Genomic DNA, 22,980 nt, shown 5'->3' with positions numbered 1-22,980 from the left:
TCTATGTAGAGACTATAGATTTCATTTATTGAAGTTCCTGGGTTAGAGTCAGGTTTTGTCACTAATTAACTAGGCAAGATACCCATCTAAGCATCAATTTCTTAATCTATGAAATGGAGATAATAATCCTTCCATTATTATTAACCTCACTCATGGGGTTTAAATGAAATAATTTTAAAATATGAATTGCTACTTTTTTCTTGTCATTTTAAGATTATAATTAAGGACTAAATATTCTTCGAAATGATATGACACAATCCTAGTTAGGTTATTGAGCTCTCTTTGAGGATGAATATATCACTCACTTATGAGAGAAATTTCAGTCTTAGTCTCTGCTGATTGGCTGAGAGCAATCATTAATATTAATCAAAACCTATATTAATTGAGAATGCACTATAATCCTGATAACTTGCCGGGGGCTTGGCCTTCAAATGGTAGAAGGCAGAGCTGCAATTTGATCTCAAGATGCTGTCAGTCTTTTTCCTAGGAGCCAAGAGATGACCCAGAATGAGTATGGGAGATTTGTTTTGGTGCTGTGAAGGTGTTTGTAGAGTTAACCCCAGCTTCAGTCAAGGGCTTATCACAAGTCTATTATCCTTATCCTGATTGTTCCTTGTTATCACTTGAAACAAGTAAATCACGATTTTTAAAACTGAACTTTTAAATAAAATAAGTAGATAAAAATAAGCAAAACACTAATGAAATCAGTTAAAATAGTAAAATAGCTTAAATGCATTAAAAAATAAATAGCCACTGTGGAAAATAGTATGGCATTTCCTCAAAAAGTTAAACATAAAATTACCCTGTGATCCAGCAATTCCACTTCTGGTAATTTATCCAAAAGAATTGAAAGCAGGGTCTTGAAGATATATTTATATACTCACATTTATAGCATGTTATTCAGAATCGCCAAAATGCAGAAGCAACCCAAATATCCATTGACAGATGAATTAATAAGCAAAGTGTGGTGTATATGTACAATTGACTGTCATTCAGCTTTAAAAAAGAAGAAAGTTCGGACATATGCTACTGTATAGATGGACCCTCAGGCCATTATGCCAAGTGAAATGAGCCAGTCACAGAAAGAGAGATACAGTATGATTTTACTTGTATGAGGTACCTAGAATAGTCAAAACCTTAAAGACAGAAAGAATGGAGGTTGCCAGGGGCCCCGGATGTGGGGAGTGTGGAATGTGGAATTACTGTTTAATGGGTACAGAGTTTCTGTTTTATATGATGAAAAAAGTTCTGGATATGAATGGTGGTGATGGTAACAGAACAATGTGAATGTACTTGATACCACTGAATGCTACACTTAAATATAATTAAGATAGTAAATATTATGCTATGTGTATTTCTCTACAGTAAAAAATAATTAGAAAAAAAGAAAGCTACAAAAACCACACCCAAAACAATAAATAACCTAGCAAAAAAAATTTTTTTTAATCAGCTCACAACAAAATGACAAAATGGCATGTCCCTTCCAAGATCTTTGTTTGAATTAAGTGACTTCAAAACTTGACAGATGCTATGTTTGTGAGCCTGGCCTGATTCCTATAATTAATTATGCCCTTCCTTTGCTTTTCTGACTCATCTGATAGTAAAGTTCATAGATTTAAACTGGATCCAGTTTTCTGGGCCTCAGCGTTATTAGGTCACTGTGTACTGTTGTATCACTACCCTGTTCTTGATAACTGGGCTCTTTATGTCTTGCTGTGGGATCACTCCACTCTTTCATCCCATTCCTGGTAAATCCATCTGGTGTCAATCTCTGAGCTTATGGTGACTTCCCTAGTGACCCAGTGCTTCCTCACAACATGTCCTGTGAATGGGTCCTAGTGACCCAGTGCTTCCTCACAACATGTCCTGTGAATGGGTCCCATCCACTTAGTGACAGGACTCCCTCTGCTGCTTACTTGTCTTTCTAGCTGGCTTTCTGTCACTTTTTGATTTCCCAGAGCTCTACCTTGTTGTCAGCACTCCCTGCAATAGGTTGGTGCAAAAGTAATTGCGCCGACCTAATACTATGTCTGAAGTTGGCCAATTGGCCTGTCTTCTTGCCTGCCTGCCTGCCTGCCTTCCTGCCTTTCTGCCTTCCTGCCTTCCTTCCTTCCTTCCTTCCTCTCTCCCTCTCCTCCCTCCCCTCCCTCCCCTTCTCCCTCCCCCTCTCCTACTTTCCTTCCCTTTTTATAACTATTGTCATACTATGCCTTTACCAGTGTTCTGTTTTTAATCCTCTAAATGTTATGTTCTGCTTACTGCATAGTACTTTCTTCTTACAGCTATTTCAGATCTTTTGTGCTATAGCTTGTTCCAGTATAGTAGGAAAAGCTCCTTCTTGGTCTCCTCCCCATCTATTCTAGTCTTTACATCTGTAGTTAAGGTAACAACAGCCTAGTCTCCCCTGAGATATAGCAAAGCTGAGTTACTTTAGAACAAAGACATTCTCAATAAGAGATATCAGACTATTGGATTATAGACCGAATTCCCTAAAAAACCTTCCCTTGGAGAGTCCCTGGGTTGGGGCATCATCCACTGCATCTCAAGTCTAGCTGGCTGCGCTGCACACAAAACCTATAGAAAATCTATCAAGCCCCTTATCCCTTCCTACCCTCATCTAAAGCTCATGAAACTCCACCAGCTAAGTTTCCAACTGATACCAATCCACACAAGCCACTTAGGGTTTAATTTAATGTTCTATGACAAGGCAGAGACATACAGATGACAGAATTGAGACTAACTTCCAGAATATTGACAGTTAGGGGATTATCAACTTTTTTTCAGAGTGTCAAGGATAAACAAAGCTAGACACTAGTTAAAGCACTGAGGAGAGATTTGATTCGGTAATAAATAGTTGCAGTAGGGAAGTGAGTCCAGCATGAATTGAACTCAACTTCACCAAAACAAAAAGCTGGAGACTTTTTAGAGGCCAGGGACTGGCACTGAGGGGTGTTAAGGGGTTGGTCTATGTGATGAAGCCACGTGGGTTTGTTAATTGACGCCTCTCCAGAGGAGAAGCAATCTATCTTTATGACAGGAGGCAATGGTATTAGAGCAAGGTGCCCACTCGAAGTTGGGCCTTAACTCCCACAGGGTCTGGGAGTGAGAGTGACAGTTGTCTCCCAGAATGTTTGCATCTCATAGAGCGCTCAGGTCCTTGAGGAAACAGTTTGGGGTAGCAGATTGTCCCAAAGGGCAAAAAAGCATTTATAATTGCAAGCTTTCTAAAGCAACTGCTCTATAAGAGCAGGGTTCAGGGGCCTATCTGGTTTGGGGCTGAAACAAACAGCAAGTTCTCCTGGCAGTGTTGAGCTTTTTTCAGGCAGGCGCTCTAAGGTGGGATGGGGTCATCCTAGGGCTGTGGCCTTGAGCAGTTAGAAACTATGTTAGTGTTTGTTCAAGTCTCTTAGTGTTTATGTTGGTGAGGGCGGGGGTGTCTAGACAAAATCATTTGTGGGAAGAGGTTGCAGTTTTTATCCACCAAGTTTGAGGCTTAGTCAAGCGGAGATCAGAGGATTCTGACAAGAGTTTGGTCAGGAGAAAGTCATTGGCAAGAGCATACCTTCTAGCTGGAAATTTTATCTAACAATGGGGCTTGGCAAACACAATGGGGCAAAAAAAAAAAAACTACTCGCTCAAAATCTGGAATCCTCCTTGATTCACAAACATGCCTTCTGTAAAGTTAAAATCAATTTTAAAATGGAGAATGGATGAATCCCTGTGGAGGATATGCCCTCCCTGAACTGAGTAGGTGACTACATTTGATGACTGTAGTATATATTTTTATGAACTTTAGTATATTTGTGTTATACTTATTGTCATTTAAAAAGTCACATTTTCCCTTTTTAATCTTGCCAGACTTCTTTATCCCATATGACTCTAAGAGCGCGTGTTTACCTGAGGTCATTGCTCCTTGAGATGAGTTCAGGAATAAATTCGTAAAATTATAATCAAATTTCAGTGTTTAATAAATTTCTTCAAGATTCTTTTAAATTTCATGTCTTGGACATTTTAAAAACTCATTGGAAATACATACATGTAATGCATTTAGGGAGATGTAAAAGACATAATTTTTAACAACATATTAGCGATCAATAATTTATTTATCAATAAATATAAAAACTACTGGTATGACCTTACTTTTGGTTTGGTTTGCAATCATTGATTTTCTGATTTTGATATAAACAATTTTAGTGTGTTAACCAGAGCAGACCGTCATTTGGACTAACATTAGCCATCTAACAGTTATTAAACACAAGTGGTAACTCACACATACTCACATATTACGGAGTTCAGCATCAGAATTCTATTTAAAGCATATCGTAATATAATTTTTTTTAAATGTTGGATACTTTATTTGAAGTGGAGACATTTTAGTTTGTCAGGTTGTCTTAAAAATTGTCCTGTCAATAAAATTATTTATAATGAAATGAATAAATTGCTTCTTTGCAGTAGACATTTCATTCATTAGGATCAAAAACCTTGTAGATAATGAATGTCCTGAAGTCTGTTCGCTACTATTTTGAGCAAATTGGTATTTAATACTGTTACTCCATACAATACACTTGTTTAGCATACTTATTATTCACATCCTTGAATTTTGAGGAATGTGCTCTGAAGCATTTGTGAAATTTGAATATACCATGATAGGATACCTAAAACATTCATCATTACTGAAGGTTATTTTGGGTATCTTTTTCGTTTCCTGATTTGCTATTTTTTTAACCATAACTGAGTAATCAGTTTTATCAGATACTTTTTTCTATATCTATTGAGATAATTATAATTTTTTCTTATAGAATGTTGATATAGTAAATGACATTTATAGTTCCTTTAATTATAATCCCCTTGTAGTCCTAAAAGTTAGCTTAGTCAAACAGTAGAAATGTTTTTATGTATCACTGGATTTTATTTTTATAGCATTTTGTTCGGGATATTTACATATACATACATGAGTAAGAGGGCATATTATTTTTTGTTCTATTGTCATTTTCTGTTTTGTCGTCAAAGCTATATTGACTTCATAGAGTTGGGAAATAAATCACTCCTCCCTTCCATGCCCTTCTCCCTCATTCTCTAGAAAAGTATAAGATTGAAATGCTTTGGATATTGAAAGTCTGATAAAACTTGCATTTAAAAATCTCGGAGTCTGTTGTATTTATGGAAAGATTTTAAGGAAATAATTCCATTTATTTAAAAGTTGTATATTTATTTGTATTTTTATTCTTTGTTGAGATCGACTATATTTTATAAAGATATTTCTATTTAATGACATTTTTTCAACTTATTGGCAGATAATTATTCACAGAATTCTTTTATATCTTTTAATTCTGTTAAATCTCTGATTATGTTACCTTTTCAATTTCTAATATTTATTTGGCTCTCTTATTAATTTTTCAAACTCGTCAGAAGTTTATCTGAATTCTTTGTTTTTTCAAAGAATTAACTTTTTGTTTTGTGATTCCTGTTTAATCTTATCTTATATTTTATATTTCTTCATTTTTATATTTATTTTATATTTTTTAATTTTACTTTTACTTTATATTTCTTTAATTTTTATTCATATCTTTGTTATTATTTTCAATTACCTTTATTTTTACTTTATTTCTCATTGTCTAACTTCCTAAATGACATACTTAGCTCATGAATTTATAGCCTTCTATCTTAATAAAAATTTAAGTCATTAAACTTTTAACAGAGAGTACTCAACATATATGTGATAAAGAGTAAAGAGCCAGTTGAGTCATAGATGTTAATTAATTTACTCACTTATATGCAAAATGACTTACTCACCATACCAGCCTTAAAACATGTATGATTTAAATTTTAGTGTCCATACAGGCTTCTTGTAAACTGCATATGTGATCTATAGAAATTGCAGTAGACTACTCTAATATGTATAAACCTAAGCAAAAACACTGCTCAAAGGTTTGTTAGTGGGATTTATCCTTTTTCCTATGTATAGCAGTTCTCTGAAGCATTTTATTATAGCGTTATAATATTTTTGGATAACTTATTTATAATAATACAAACATACTTATGGCATACTTTCATAAATTACATAAATGAAATTTGCCTGTATTTTGCTATTGCATTTTTTTGGATATATTTAATACTGATTTATTGTGTTTGCTCATATTTATGGGATGAAGAAGAATTTAGCATCTCTCATCACTGATCAGTTTTAACCACGATTAGAATTTTACAAAACTAGTACTAAAATACCCTTAAGAATCATATGATTTAGTAAGTGAAGAACCAAAAGTGTGAAGCTGCACTGTGCAAGTTGATACCATTAGCTTTGGAGCACTTGAAATGCAGCTAGTCTGAATTGAGATGTGCCCTAGGATAGAATACAAATTGTATTTTGAAGACATAGTAATAAAAAAAAGAATGTAAGATACCCCATTAATACTTTTTATGTTGATTACATGTTTAAGTAATAATATTTGAGGTATATTAAGTAAAATATATTATCAAAAGTTCACTTTTTTTCCTTTTTAAATGTGTCTGTTAGAAAACTTAATATTACATATATGACTCACCTGATGTTTCTGTTGGACAGTGCTTGTCTAAGAGTTCATTTCTTCATGTAAGCCTTCATGACAAATTGGTAAAAAATTTAGAAACAAAACACAGGCCTTCTATTCCCCATTTAAGGCAGTTAGCTTATTTCAAAATTAATTTATTTTGTTTCCTTCCTTTTGTTTAGTGAATTTATTTTTGCTGGCTGAGTGTTTTCTTAATTTGGAGAAGTTAAAAATATTACAGAAAAGGTTATTGTTTTTTCAAGCAAAACACATCAACCAGATAAATGTTTTAAAGTATAAACATCATCAGCATCGACCTGAGGACAGGCGTGGGAGCTCACACTTGTAATCCCAGCACTTTGGGAGGCCGAGGTGGGTGGATCATGAGGTCAGGAGTTCGAAATCAGCCTGACCAACATGGTGAAACCCCATCTCTACTAAAAATACAAAAATTAGCTGGGCGTGGTGGCAGATGCCTGTAGTCCCAGCTACTTGGGAGCCTGAGGCAGGAGAATCACTTGAATCTGGGAGGCGGAGGTTGCAGTGAGTCGACATCATGCTACTGCACTCCAACCTGGGTAACAGAGCGAGACTCCGTCTCTAAATAAATAAATAAAATCATCAGCATCAACTTGAACCGAAAATACCCTTTCTTAGTAGAATGCTGCCAGAAACATTTTAAATTTCAAAACACTTATAATTTTATGTGACCTAGTTTAGAACTTCTAAAGGTACATTATGACATTTGGTGGAATAAGTATGTGGATATTAAGCATATGCTTATAAAAGAAGAGAAGACTCTCCATTTAATTTTGGTTATGTTTATTTCATCGATACTCTAATCATAAAGCATCTATTGGAGAAAGGTTAGACTAGTCCTTGATTTCCAGTTAGATTTTATATTAAGCTTGGGCTGAATAGTTTGGAATGGAAACTTAGATATTACTCACAGAACAAATTATTTGTTCTTCAGTTTGATAATTCAAGAAAACTGGAATAAATAACCCCATTTGTTATCTACATTATTCAACACAATATGTATTTGTGGATCTTTGAAAAAACGTATATGCAATATAACTTCTTAACCTGTTTAGAAACAGTATCATAGACAGTTGTATAGCACCCATGAGTATGGGAATGTCCTAAAAGAACTGAAAACCGTGATTCGAAAAACTAGAGTTTTGGATGAAAGTTAAATTTGCATCTTATAACAGTTTTTCGTTTAGAAATTACTCTTAGCAATTGTAAGAGCACATCATTACCTCAAGGCATAATTGTCACTACTTTCTGTATGTAGTGAACAGTGTTTAGTTGCAAGTGCTATAATGGATTATATTATACAATTTAAAAATCTCACCCTTATGAATTATGTTTTTACTGTCATTAGTGTTGAGTTTATTTGGTATGCAACAGTCTTTGATGATTCTCTCTATATGTGTATCTATATCTATCTACCTATATCTACCTATAATCAGAGTACTTTGAAGAGTTGAAAATATTGGAATATATTTTCTTTGACATGTAAACAATACTGTAATCTTATTTTACATTTTTCTGAGTTTTTAACAAAATGTGTTTTTGCTTCTGGAATAATAAAAATATAATAAAGTATTATTTTTGTATATAGAGTATGGGATGAGAGTTTCTAGCTCACAAGCTAGGAAACTGTAATAAAAATTCTGACAGAAATGTAGTGCTAATAGTAATATATTTTAATGATGTCATCGGGGCCAGATTTGTGCTGCTTGTGCAGACAACTACAGTAAGTTAATGTCGTGTAATCACCAATAATATCCAGAAAATGTGTTCACTGTTTAATTATGGTTTTCTCTTTTAATATTTATTATTTTATTTTATTTTTTAAATTGTGCTTTATAGTAGGTATATATATTTAGGGGGCACATGAGATAGTTTGATATGGGTATACAATGTGTAATAATCACATCAGGGTAAATGGGATATCGATTACCTCAAGCATTTATTCTTTCTGTGTTACAAATGCTCCAATTACACTCTTTTAGTTTTTAAATGTACAATAAATTATTGTTGACTGTAGACACAGTGTTGTACTATCATCAAATACTAAATCTTATTCATTCTATCAAACCATATTTTTGTGTCCATTAACCAACCATCCCCACTCCTTCTCCAATATGCTTCCTAGCCTCTGGTAACCATCATTCTACTCTCTACCTCTATGAGTTGCATTGTTTTTTTAGTTCTCACAAATAAGTAAGAACATGTGAAGTTTGTCTTTTCGTGCCTAGTTTATTTCACTTAACATAATGACCTCCAGAACCATCCATGTGGTTGCAAATGACAAGATCTTATTATTTTTTATGGCTGAAGAGTACTCCACTGTGTATAGGTACCACATTTTCTTTATTCATTCATCAATTGATGGACACTTAGGTTGCTTCCAAATCTTGGCTATTGTGAATAATGCTGCAACAAACATGGGAATACAGATATCTCTTTGGTGTATTGATTTCCTTCCTGTGGCTATATACCCAGCAGTGGGAGTACTGGATCATATGGTAGTTCTATTTTTAGTTTTATGAGGAGCCTCCAAACTGTTCGCTGTAGTGGCGGTACTAATTTACATTCCCACCAACAGTGCACAGGGATTCTGTTTTCTCCACATCCTTACTAGCATTTGTTAATGCCTTATGTTTTATATGAAAGCCATTTGAACTAGAGTGTGATGTTATCTCATTGTGGTTTTGATTTGCATTTCTCTGTTGATCAGTGATATTGAACACCTTTTAAGTGAACTTGACAGACTTCTTGAAAATCACGTCTTCTCATCACTGACACATGGAGTAGTAGAAAATTTGAATAGTCATATCTATTAAGAAAATAAACTCTATAAATAAAAACCTCCTCACAGAAAAAAAATCTCAGGCCTAGAAGACTTCACCAGTCTGGTGTTCCAAGCATGTAGGAAATACTAGATACAAGGTCTGCACACAAAGTCAGTTGTATTTCTCTGTGCTAGCTTGAAAGACTTAGAAAATGAAAATTTTAAAAGACGACATTAATATTAGCATCAAAGTCATCAAATACCTAAGGAAGAATAAAAGTTTTGTAAAACCTGTGCACACATTTCAAAGCTAAAAGAAACCTAAATAAATGGAAAGATATATCATGTGTTTATGAATTGTGTCAATGTCGACTTAGCAAACTGAGTATAGATTTAATGTAATCCCAATTAAATATTCAACAGGATTTTGTGGGAGAAATGCAAACGCCCAAGAGTAACCAGGTCAGTCTTGAAAAAGAAGAATAAAGTTGGAGGACTAACATTAGCAGATAACAAAATGCCTGAATATTAAAATTTAATATTTAGAAAGTAAAGTAACTTAAAATACTAAGTATTGGAAAGGGAAGATGTGGAGCAACTAGAACTTTTAAGGTGCTGATGGCAATGTAAGTTGGTATAACCACTCTGAAAAACTGTTGACAGCCTAGTCTAAAGCTGAACTTAAGCATCTCCTATGACCCACCTATTCTAATCCTAAATACAGTCCAAACCAAAAAATGTGTGTAATTATACCAAAAAATCTATACAAGAGTGTCTACAACAGTATTATTTTAAATCAACTGTGAACAATGGAAATGTCTGTCAAGAATAGAAATAATAAAAATCTTGTAGATATAAAATTAAATTCTATAGAGCAATGAAAAGGCACAAACTATGACAACACAAAGAACATGGATAAATCTCACAGGTATAATCTGGAGCAAATAAGTCAAACACAAAATAGTATGTATTATATATTTTCATCTCTATGAGTTCCAAGACAGGCAAAGTTAAAATGGCAGAGTTTAAAATTTTTGTTACTTTTAAAGAGGCAAAATCACTGGGATGGGGTGTAAGGGAAGCTTCCTGGAATGGTGGACATAAATGAGTTCATTTCATGAAAATACATCGAAGCTATGCCTAAAATTTTTACACTTTACAATATCTATGTTATGCAACAATGAAAAGTTTTTAAAAGTATATATTATTTTTGTTCAGTAGAAAACATGACTGTCTGTGTGTGTGTATATATATATATATAATTGCATATAAATTTCCATGACAATGCACACAAGTTTCCATTTTCATGGAAATTTATGTGCAATTATATATATACACAGACAGAGAGACAGAGGAATATAAATGCAAGGCTTTCTAGTGAAAAAATTTTTATTGACCACATTGGCATTTCAAATGGCTTAGAGATTGGTTAGAAGAGAGCTTAGTTCACCTATTCTAATGTTCCAATTTATTTATTCCAAGAAGGAAAATGCCTACCCAGAGAAGATCTAAATAGTATATTTAGAGTGAATATTTCTTCGTTTCTCTCTTTCCTAGTGGATAAGCAGTTGCCAGTGACATTCTCCCCAGAAGCAGAGGCAGCCAGAGTTGAATGTTATTATCCAGCTTTGTTGCTGCTCTGGTATTCTCAAGGCTTGCATTACCAGCCCCAAAGTAACGACACACACTACTGCAATGATATCTGCATTCCACTTAAGGAAGTTTTGGAAACTTTAGGTTCTTCTGTTTCTTACAACAAATTCAGAAACAGAAAAGCCATATTCATCTTGATCCTAGGGAAGAAGGCAAAATTATTACCCATACGTCTTTGAATATATCTCTCCTCCCCAGCAGAATTTTAATAATAACTAATGATCTGGATGTGGTAGCTCATGCCTGTAATGTCAGTCTTTGGGAAGCCAAGGTGTAGGAGATCACATGAGTCCAGGAGTTCGAGACCAACCTGGGCAACATAGTGGGACCCTGTCTCTACAAAAAATTAAAAAATTACCTGAGCATAGTGGGGCAGGGCTGTAGTCCCAGCTAGTTGGGAGGCTGATGCAAGAGGATCACTTCAACCTGGGAAGTCAAGGCTGCAATGAACCATGGTCACACCACTGTACTCCGGCTTGGGTGACTGACAGAGTGAGACCTTGTGTCAAAAAACAACAATAACAACAAAGAAAGGAAACCGAACTAATGTACAATGATTTTTAGATCGCAGCCATCTCTTGTGTTAAATGTAAACTCGAACTGTTATTAAGAGTTTATTGATTATCCCTAGTTCACAGCAAGTAAGATTTGGAGCAATGAGGCTCTTACATTCCAAGTAAAATTCCTTCTTGTAGTTAGTTTAACCAGTATTGGTTTTCCGTCACTATTTTCTTTTTACTGAAATTAATTTGAAAGTCTAATATAACAATTGTAGTGGTAAAAAGGGATGTTCTTTTCATGGTGAAGTTTGGGTTTTCTTGGTGCTATTTTTCTTATTGTATTTAAAAAATCACATTCTATTTGCTGATGTGATGCTTATAATTCTCACTGGGAAGATCCTAAAAATATGTATGTATATGGTAGATAATAATGCTAATGCCTATCTACCCTTATTATGTTTCTAGCAGGACTTTAGAAATCTAAGAAATAAGTAGCTAGCCAGTTAGTAAAGATAAAGCAGTTGGGTTTTAGAAATATCTATTAAAGGTACTTTAAAGTAGTTTTAATTTTATTTTTAACATTTTAAGCTAACTATTAAATATAATAGTGTGGTATAATAGAGCATATACTTCTTTAATTTTAATAAACTAAGAAACAAGATTGAGTAATAAATGAAACATTGTACTGTGAAATTAGTGGGGATCCTTTCATTTTTCATAAAAAGAAAAAAGCAATGATACAGGAGAGCCTTGTTAGTAAAAAACTTACTGGGAGAATAATTTGATGAAATGTGAAGACTCTCAGCAGTGCAGTTTCTAGTCCAAGGAATTTGAATAAGTGTTAGGAAATATGAATTTGTTTCTGCTTCATCTAACTAGATTTGGTACAATGGGGTGTGCAGTTAGGGAGAAAAAGTCTCTGGTACTTAATAAGGCAATAATTCATGCTGAATGGATATGAGCAGTCATTGAATGAAAAATTGATTTTTATAGTGTCCCAGACTTGGTAACTTTTGGAGATTTGTGTGCTTATTGTACTACTACCATAAAGAAAATATATAGTTCTCATTAAAAGGTGAGTACCTTTTTTCCTGTGTTGTATATATGTTTGTTAAGAGTTTAATCATTTTTCATTTGCAATTTTAGATACTTTTACTATGTTTCCAAGTACAGTATAAGTAAAGAAAAATAGCATGGCCTCATAGTTTACTGATTTCTGTTAGTCAAGAGTAGGTTTATACATAAACTGGTCAATTTCCTTACCATGAAAAGATAGGCCCAGTTTAGTTTATATTGTAAATCAAAACATCCTTTAACAATCCAGAAGGCTGCAAAGTTAAGATTACCCCTATTAACTAACAGAAAGTTATACTATTTACTGATTATGTTGTAAGACAAACTACTGCACTGTTCTGATTCTATGTGGTAGCATAGTGTTTATTGTTAGAGTATGTCTCAATATATAAAACAAAAAATTAACTTTAGTAGGTATAAGGCCTTGCTTTGACATTTTATTGACAGTGAAGTTTGAATACCTATAAATCTTCTTTAAAATTCCCAAAGTCATGATGACTTTTAAATACTCTTCTGTTAAGAACTTTTTTTAAAAAAGAAAAATTGAGTAACTAGCTATTTGCCATAAGGCAGTACTCCTAAACATACAAAATGCTATTTTAGAGATATATGCTTCCTTTCCCCTCATGTATGATATATTCTATTTTGGCCTACCTAAAGGCCTTTAGAATTCTTTACAGTAAAACTGCAGGTTTTTGCATTTATATTTAACCAGAAAAATCAACAAAAATATTACATTGAGTCTTGATATTTATCCAGCTATCCATTCATCATTCATCTATATATATTTATATACAGCTATCCACTATTTACCTGGCACTGTCCTAAGTTCTGGAATACTAAGAAGAATGGCATTTACTTCTTGTTAGCTCATAATTCAGTAGAGATAGATAATAATTTAAAAAGAGAAAGTGAGAAGATGGGATTAGAAGAAAGTAAATAGACATTATTTTTGTAGTAAAACTTCGGAGAAGATGAAATAATGGCCTTTTTGTCTATTAATGAGGAGGAGCTGAGTTGGGGATAGAGTAGATACTACATCTTGCTAGCATCTGCTTTTGTTCTGGTAGAGTTTTATGGACTGAGCTGAAGCTTAAACAAGTAATCTCATTTATTAGGGAGGATGACAAAGGAATAACTTTGGGTATATGTAACTATTTTTCTATTATACTATGCTTAATAAATTAAGATTTTCTTTCTCAAAATTTGTTCTACTAAGAAGTTGCTAGTGTGAGAAATAAACAAATGCAGTGCTAAAATGTGATGTGTGCAGTAACAGAGATGTTTTCAGGATTCAGTGGGAAAAGGGAGTACTATACTGTTGGTGAATTGAGGAAGAGCCTAAGGAAAAGTTATACATAAGAGGCAAGGTGGTTTAAATAACGGTAATGCAGTGGTAACATTAAGTGCTCAAAGGGAGGGGAATGTATGGATTTTAAGCATTGAAAACTTCAAATTCATTATGATTATGTAATTAATAGCAATTAATATTACATATTAAAACTTTGAACATATACTAAATTATAGTGAAGAGTCTAGTAAAATACCATGTATGCATCTTCCAGCTTCAATAACCTCACCGATTTTCTCCCTTCCACGATTATTTTAAAGCAAATCCCTAACACCATAGTATTTTTATCTGTAAGTATTTCCATCAATATCTATGGATAAGGTCATTCATACAGAGTTATTATACTATTATCACTTCTAAAACTTCGACAGTACTCTCTTAATCTCAAATATTGTTTTCAGATTTTGTTCGTTTGTTTGAGACAGAGTGAAACTCTGTCACCCAGGCTGGAGTGCAATGGCGCGATCTTGGCTCACTGCAACCTCCGCCTCCCAGGTTCAAACGATTCTTGTGCCTCAGCCTCCTGAGTAGCTGGGATTACAGGCATGCACCACGCCCAGCTAACTTTTGTGCTTTTAGTAGAGATGGGGTTTCACCATGTTTGCCAGGCTGGTCCCAAACTCCTGATCTCAGGTCATCTGCCCACCTCGGCCTCCTAACATGGTGGTGTTAGAGGCGTGAGCCACCGCATCTGGCCCTGTGTTCAGATTTCCGTGATTGACTCATAAATGTTATGTTTATTTTTTACATTTGGTTTTTTCAAAAGAGGAGGTCCACATGTTACGTTTTGGTAAAATTAGGAGGTCCACATTTTACATTTGGTTATGTCCCTTAAATATAGTTTCAATTCCATAGGTCAGTTTATGTCTCTGTCTCGTTCTGTCTCTGTCTCTTTCTCTCTTCCTCCCCCTCTCTCATTACAATTTATTTGTTGAAGAAACCAGGTTAATTTTGCTGTAGTTTCCCACATGTTGAATTTTGGTGATTATATCCCTGTATTTTCATTGAACCTGTTTCTCTGTGCCCTATATTTCACGTAAGCTGGTTGTTAGATCTTTCTAGACATTTTAAAGATGTGGAAAAAGAATGAAAAATAAACTGTATGATCCCAAATGGCTATCAGTAGAACTGAGGCCTTCCCTTTCTCAATTACTATTTAAGTTCAACAAATGCTGATTGAACTTTCTTTATGCTCAGGTACACTGGCAGGTGGCCTAGATGTTATACAGATCAGTAAAATTCAAAGTCTGTTTTCAAGTGCTTATAATAGTTCACTGTTACACAGGAGTCACACTGGCCAGCTTGCTCAAGAATCCCAGGACAGTATTCTCTAGAACATTCTGACCCTAACACAGGCAGACAGAGCAGTTCTCTGGTGGGAAACAGCTTTTCCTATGGAATAAAAGCCACCAGTGCTTGTAATCTCTCCAGGCATCAGGAATGGACTGTGGCTAATGAAATGGCACAGTTGGTTATATGGAAGCCATGCAGAAAAGCAGGTAACCTGAAGTAATCTGCTAGGAGACCAAAGAGAAAATTAATCTCAAAAAAGATTAGTAGGGCATGCTTATTTCTCTGAGAAAAGAATAGCCAATAAGGCTTGCATTTTCCGCCATAAAGTGAATATATACATATGTATATCTGTAGACACACTTACATATTTATATAAGAATTGTTTTTACTTCGAGAGCGTAAAATTCTATAGTAATGAGTATTTTGAGTGCTTGGAGGAAAAACAAAGGACAAAACACACTTCAACCTTGCTTCTCCTTAGTTAGCTTTGTTTCATGTTTGAATTGTGAAGCCAGCTCAGTGGCAGAGCCAATTATAGCAAATGTCTGTCAGACTCTGTCCCAGGGACTCAGTTGGAGGTTTGGTGCAAGTTTGTACTGTCAAGATGAGTGGTTTTTTCACGATCTTTAATGTAATAGCAGGTAATGTACTCTTTAATACCAGGAAGTTCATTTGCCTGTAGTGGAAAGGGAGCAGCTATTGAGGGAAGTTTGTCAGGGAGGCAGAACCAGGACCCCCTTGACTGACAGCCTAGGAATGAGAGTAAACCCTGTGTCTTGGAGATGCTTGAGGAATAAAGATTTGAACATACGATGACAAGACTTATTTAAAAATTAAAAATAGAGAGCATGTATCTTTGGTGGGTTATGTCAACCCCTATGTCAAATTGCAATACATTGTCAAACCTACAAAGAGATCATAATATTCTATTTGGTTTTCATGTCATGGTTGAGATTTTACGTTTTCTTGCAAGTCACTGCATAATAAAGGCAGACATGACAAAGTCAAATAAAACGAAGTAGTACTGGAAATAAAATAAAAAGTAAAATGGAATTTTGTTAAGGTTTGGCTCCCTGACATATCCAAATTTGTTGGTGAACTGTCAGTGTATTACTTCACGGGGTATAAGAATAGCCAGCAGTTGTTTTTTGGATGTTTTAAATAAAAATTTGATGAGTTGCTTCTTTCTTCAAAGAAAGGTAATCTTGAACATAAAGTGATTCTCCCACTTTTTCATATACATCATTGTAGATGACTCAAATAGCTATTTAACATTTTATTTTATTAATTTTGTTATGTAGGTTATATAAATCACATATACTTATTTAAATAAACAGTTGATACTTGAACAGTGTGGATTTGAACTGTGGGGTCCGTCTGTACGTGGATTTTTTCCTATATATGTTGGAAAATTTTTTGGACATTTGCAACAATTTGAATAAACTCAGATGAACCAATTAGTCTAGCAATATCAAAAAAGTTAAGAAAAGTTAGGTATGTCATGAATGTATAAAATATATGTAAGTACTAGTTTATTTATGTGTTAATTGACTGTTTCTGTTATCTGTAAGACTTCCAGTCAACAGTAGGCTATTAGTAGTTAATTTTTGAGGGAGTCAAATGTTAAATGCAGATTTTCAACTGCATGGGGGTTGACACCCCTAAACCCCACGTTGTTCAAGGGCCAACCATATTACTTTTTTCTGCTCTTATATTTCATGAAGAATCTTTCAGTGTTTTACATGCATCTTCAATATCAGTGTTTTTCATTATTAGATCCACTTTTTGAGTCACTCAACAGTTTCAGACCACATCTTCTTTCTTTTGACTTCTAACTTGTTATCACTGAAATTATATCCCAAGCTGTAATAACTTATTATAAAACATGAAGGGATTGGTTTTAGTTCTGTTTTATTTTATCTTCTCTGTGTTGTATATTTGTGATGTCTTCAACATAACTACTTACTGTATTACTTTTAACGTACTCTTTAAAATTTTTTATTACAGCAGCAGCACAGCAAGTGGATAAAAGCACAGACTCTGGAGCCAGCCTGTCTAGATTCAAATTTTATTTACTCTATCTGTGATCTTGGCCTCATTAAGTTATCTCTGTTTTAGTTTTTTTCCTATGGTTAATGATAGTCCCAACCTCATAGAATAGCTTTGAACATTCAGTGAGTTATTCCACATGAAGCACTTAGAGGAACTATTAGTATTCAAGTGTTTCATAACAAAGTATAATCATTTGACAATAAATAAACTAATATACTCATTTGGTAACACACACAGACCCACACACACACACACACATACACGTATGTCATCCACTGTTTGCAATTGTGAGATTATACTCCCAGAAGTAATTTTAGAATGAATAAAGGTAGAAGCAAATAAATCTGTGAAGTGTCCTCTGTGAAGCTTAAAAGACAGAAATTATTGCAATAATCTCACCTTAATATGTCTTTTTTAAATAGTATTTTTGCCCCAGGTAAAAACTGTCATCTACTGAAATGTTTTTACAACAACTTTATTGAGATATAATTCATATACTGTAGGTTTCACACTTTTAATGTACGTAATTCCATGAATGTTAATATATTTACAGAGTTGTACATTATTACCACTATGGAATTTCAGAACATTTGTCCTTATCCCCAAAAGAAACGCACACACTCTAGCAATCATTCCCTATTCCTTCCTCTACCCTAGGGCTAGCAAGCACTGTCTACTTCTACTTTCTGTTTCTATAGATTTGCCTGTTTTCACTATTTCATGTAATTGGAATCATACAATATTTAACTTATTGTGAGTGGATTCTTTCAGTTAGCATAATGTTTTCAAGATTCCACAATATTTTAGCATGTATCAGAACTTCATTTATTTTTATTGCCAAATAAAATTCCATTGTATAGATGTACCACGTTTTATTATCCATTCAACAGATGATGAAAACTTGGGCTGCTTCTATTTTTTGCCTGATATGAATAATGTTACTATGAACACTGGTGTAGAGGGTTTAGCATAGACATATGTTTTCGGTACTCTTGGGGTGTATACCTAGGAGTTGAAATGCTGGGTCATATGGTAACTGTATTTTTAACATTTTCAGGAACTACCAAACTGTTTCCCAAAGCAGCAATTTAAAAGCATAGAAAGCTCACTGTTCTTAGCAAGATTCAGCTATTTTTCTTGAATAAATTCTTCTTGGAACATTGCAAGCATTTGTTTAACTTTTGGAATTCTGAAAAAGTTTATTTTGACAATTGTTTGTGTTTTGGTTGCTTTTATGGAGGAGTAGATTTTTGGAGGTCCTTACTTTACCATTCCAGAAGTGGTCGCTCCTGCCTCGCAACCACTAAAATTAAAACAGTCTGTCTATGGAGGGCTAGAGCCACTAATGTGCTTTCAGGCCCAGAGTGAAGCAGAGGACTCAGCCTAAGGAGTCTGAATCTCCATGGTGGAAAAGTAATGAGAGGAGAAAGGAGCTATGTCTCAGAGAAGAGTGCACTAAAGTGACCTACTGGATAAATCACTTTTTATGTGGCTGCTTAGAGATATTGCCAACAGGTGTTCTCATATTTTTCCATGCATGTTGATGTAACCCTTCCAGTTTACAAGTCTCTGTTGCCTACAGACAACTTTCAGTCAATGCTCTCATTTTGGAGGGAAACCGTTGGGAAAGATAAAGAATTTCAGAAAAGTCCCATGCAAGACCTTTATATTAATTAAACCAATTTCTTATTGATTTATGTGAACCATCAATCACAAGATATTTGAGGAAGATTCAAAACAGTGAATGTATAGGACTGAATTTAAAACAACAACAACAACAGCAACAACAACGGCAGCAACAACAGCCCCCTGACCTGAGAGGAAACAAAATTTAGTTAGGGAATAATGGAAAACTTATAGAAATTATAAATTCTTCCAAATAATTTGAGAGAATATTGAGTCTCTAAAACAAGATTAGCATCTAAGAAAAAGGAACAGATAATAAGAAATAGCTTTTAAAATTAAAGTGTGAATGTGAAAGTAGAAAACTAAATAGAAGAGCTCTGAAATAAAATGGAGCCACAGGAAGAACAAATTAATTATTTTGAATATAAAGCCAAGACCTTAGCCAAGAAACGTATGACACAAAGATGGAGCCAATGAAAGAAATGTTAGGAGATGGAGGATACATTTAGTAGTAGCAGCATCTGTCGAACTCAGTGTTACCTCTGGCACCCAGTTAAGGCTTCTGCCTCCAGAACACATCTAATTCAATTGCAGATAGAACAATATCGATTTGTTTTTTTCAAAACGTTTCTTTCTTAATTCCCTTTTTCATCCATTAACTTAATAAATATTTTTTTAACATCTTTTTACATTCCTGTTACTGTGTTGACCCGGGGCATAGAGCAGACTTGGTTCTTGCCCTCGTGGAGTTTACAATTTAGATGATAGAGCAGGATGTAGGGGCTCTTGCTTTCTGTGCAACATTTAATATTAACTCTGCCTAGGCTGCTGGAAATGCACTTCTAAGATGTTTGACTGTTCTCCTATTAGTTTTTGAGGTCTGGTTCTAAGCTAAACAAACAGGCTGTCATTTGGGTTCTAGTGGCAATTTCTGTACTCCCTATAAGTATGCTTATTTTTCTTTAGTGTTTTTCTTGGATTAGAGAGAGGATTTGAGAAGACATTCTTGATCCAGATAAGTGAAAGGGAATTTAATATTAAAAGAAAAATAATATTTAGCTCTTTTTAAAGCTAGCAAGAAATCAGAGAAACAAGATAATCTTCCCTCCCTCCCTCCCTTCCTCCCTTTCCTCCCCTCCCTCCCCCACCTCTTTCCTTCCTCATAAAAAACCATGTTATATTGACAAGAACAGCACAGATCCATCTATTTTGAATTATAAGTTTTTAATTAGCATTTGTAGTTCCCTGAAAGATATTTTAGCTATTGCACTCATTTGTGGGTATATTACATTACAACTTCTCTTCACTTATTTTTATATTCCTCTGAATTCATTTTTAACCTTCAGACAAAATTTAGTTTTTGTTGGTATTCCTTTAATCTCTCCTAAGTCAGTATATGTGCATTCTAGCTTCCATACTTTTCAATAATTACTCTGAATGGGCGTTGAATGATGAATGGAGCCAACATATCCAGAGAATAGCTGACTTTTAGCATTTGCCTTTAACAGCACAATTTGCCAAATGCATCCTTTGGAATAGTGTTTTTATTTGTTTATTTATTTTTAACTGCTCTGAGTTATACACATTGTTTTTCTCCCAAGTTTTTGCTTCATAGAATTGTGCTTCTTAGTAAGAAGTGGCTCATGATTCTAATAGTCCCTTAGTATTACTTAAGTCTTTGCAACCACCAGACTCAGCATTCACCCTGACGCGATGCTCAGTTGACACTTGAGAGCAAGTGGGAAGAGTTCACCTAATGCCTCATCTAGGGTACATGCTGTTCCTATTGTATCTTCTTACTTACTTGGCAGTCCATTGGAACAAATTGTTGATTTTATTATCAAATCCATTATCATTCTGAACTTCTTACTATCTCTGCTGCTGCTTGGCCTACCCAGACCAGAGCAATGGCCTTTTGTTTGGTCTCCGATAATTAATTCTTCCTAATAGAGCCAGTGAGTTAAATATCTAGATGACATTGTTTTCATTTAAATAGGTAATAGACATACAAAGATAAAATTGAAAAGGCACAACAGCCTATACAGTGACAAGTAAGTCTCCTTCCTGCTTCTGTCCTCCAGCCATGGTTCCTCTCTACAGAGGCAACTACACATATTCCCTTTTGACTTATGTGCATATGTTCACAAAGCTGCTTCTTGCTAGATGAAGATCCAAATCCTTAGTATATTTCATATACTTGCATGAGTATATGTCTTCAGTTGTATTTCTCAGCATATTCTCTAGTTTCCTCTCCTCCAGCCACACTGTACCTAGACATATTCTTTTGTTGTAGATCCTACCTTGCTTTTCCCAAACTCTACACAACATATGCACATTTCTACCCTGAAGGTTCTTCCTCCTTCTTTGCACCTATTTAGCTCAACTCTCCCAGGTTAGACAATATCTTCTCAGAGAAATCCTCCCTGAACCTACAGTTCAGATCAGGCCCCTTTAAGACAATATTCATGTTTTGCTTTCATAACATTTATCACAGTTTGTATTTATATATTTAATGATCATTTGCTTAATGTCTTTCTCCTTTGCAAGACTGTTAGTAACATTAGGGCCTGTGTGTTGCTCGACATTGTTTACTCAGTACTGGCACATAAATAGTTAAGAAACATCTATTGAATAAATGCTCAAGAATCCTCATTTGCTTGTGGGAGGTATCTCTTTCATTGTAATCCATTCACTTATTTCTTGTCTACTGTTTTTTATATGGCCAGTCTCCTAGAATTTCTGTCCCCCGTGGATTTAATATGTTTTAACTCAGCAACTCTTAAATAAGCGTAAGTATTTTGGATAGTAAGAAAGGGGAAAAAGAAGTGAAAACTGTAGGAACACAAAGGATGATCCTGTCACTTCTGAGATAGACACACTGTATTTGAGCTACTGTACCAATGAGCATTATGATCAGCTTCTCTATGGAAGGTATAATTTCTCCCTTAAACTCTCCAAATATATGTGACTCCCAGCTTATGTGACTTTCGAACTCTAAGATCCACAAGGGCAGAAATTATGATCTATCTTGCTCACTGCTATGTTCCTAGAATTTACGACTATTCCTGTGAGGTAGACATTGACTAGATATTGTCTAACTGGAAGTTTAAATTGAATGTGGCCATATTGTGTATTTACAGAAGTATTGTAGGAAGAGGAACTTGCAGTTATTCAGGGAAACTCTGGCACATTATGTTACTAATGTCAAATACTGGGGAGACATAGAGAAGTATTATTTGTGCTCATAGTTTTGGCTCTTCTTTTCTCTAGTAAATGTAGTAGGTTTTGTCACAACATGATGGGTTTGCCTTGTAAGAAAAATAGAGATTTTGTTAGTCCAGAAACAATCATTTTATTTGACAATGTTGCAGTGTATCTGTGACACTGAGATGGAAATAATAATTTTTTAAAGTTTTCCAAACAGGGTAGGGTAATGAATGAATAAGGGAAATAGAAAACTAACCATTTTAAAGCTTTGGTTAGATGATTGATTAGTGCATATGGGCTACTTTGAATATACAGTATCTGCACTGGTTTATTTCTAATGGACAAAGAGATTACTAGTGTTATTATTTAAAATGAGAATGCATTTTCTCACGTAGATAGCACAATAAATATCCTGAGATTCATATGGCCCTCATGGAGGATCAGTCACTGACTGTGGTTTATATTTACTTTCTGTGCCTTTCCACAGTTACAGTTATCTTTTTTAAAGGTATTATTCCATTTCTTGGCTTTAGTAAGAGGTGCCTGTAAAAGAATTCTTTCATTTGAAATCAGTGAAACAGGAATTTATAAGCAAAGGAAAATGGATTGCTAAGAAATAAATATTTGTGAAATGACCCAAGGTGAGTTTTAAAAAATGTGTTTGGATAGAGCATTTCTACTTTATTTTCTTAAAAATCCAAAATTGTTGGTCTTTCACGGGGAACATCTCAGTGCTTTTAGGATAACACCTGTTGTTATGGATTTATTTTTGGAATTTTTGACCTCAAGTGTGAATGCTGCATAGCCTTGTGTCATGAGTGTTTACCTCGCTTATTTAGCCTGGCGCAGAGGTTGGGGGTTGGGGGTAGGATTCCTCAGATATGTATTCAG

At 34.5% G+C, this 22,980-nt stretch overlaps 1 protein-coding gene across 25 annotated transcripts in view; it reads left to right on the top strand.

Annotated features, from left to right (window-relative positions):
* The window catches only part of IMMP2L (inner mitochondrial membrane peptidase subunit 2), an 899,849-nt gene that overhangs the window by 396,228 nt on the left and 480,641 nt on the right, over positions 1-22,980 (top strand). Inside the window, exon 4 of one of the 25 annotated variants that reach the window (XM_024446961.2) lies at positions 17,212-18,121. The exons of the other annotated variants lie outside the window; for them this stretch is intronic. Within the exon in view, the coding sequence (XP_024302729.1) occupies positions 17,212-17,233 (22 nt within the window). The 3' untranslated portion in view covers positions 17,234-18,121. Of the gene's footprint in view, positions 1-17,211; positions 18,122-22,980 lie in introns of those variants that run through there. 25 annotated transcript variants of the gene reach the window in all.

The sequence above is a fragment of the Homo sapiens genome, chromosome 7 (genome assembly GCF_000001405.40).
Source record: "Homo sapiens chromosome 7, GRCh38.p14 Primary Assembly".
Classification (NCBI taxonomy): domain Eukaryota; kingdom Metazoa; phylum Chordata; class Mammalia; order Primates; family Hominidae; genus Homo; species Homo sapiens.
The sequence above is the reverse complement of the archived record's forward strand: the minus strand, read 5'-3'. Positions and strand labels throughout refer to the sequence as shown.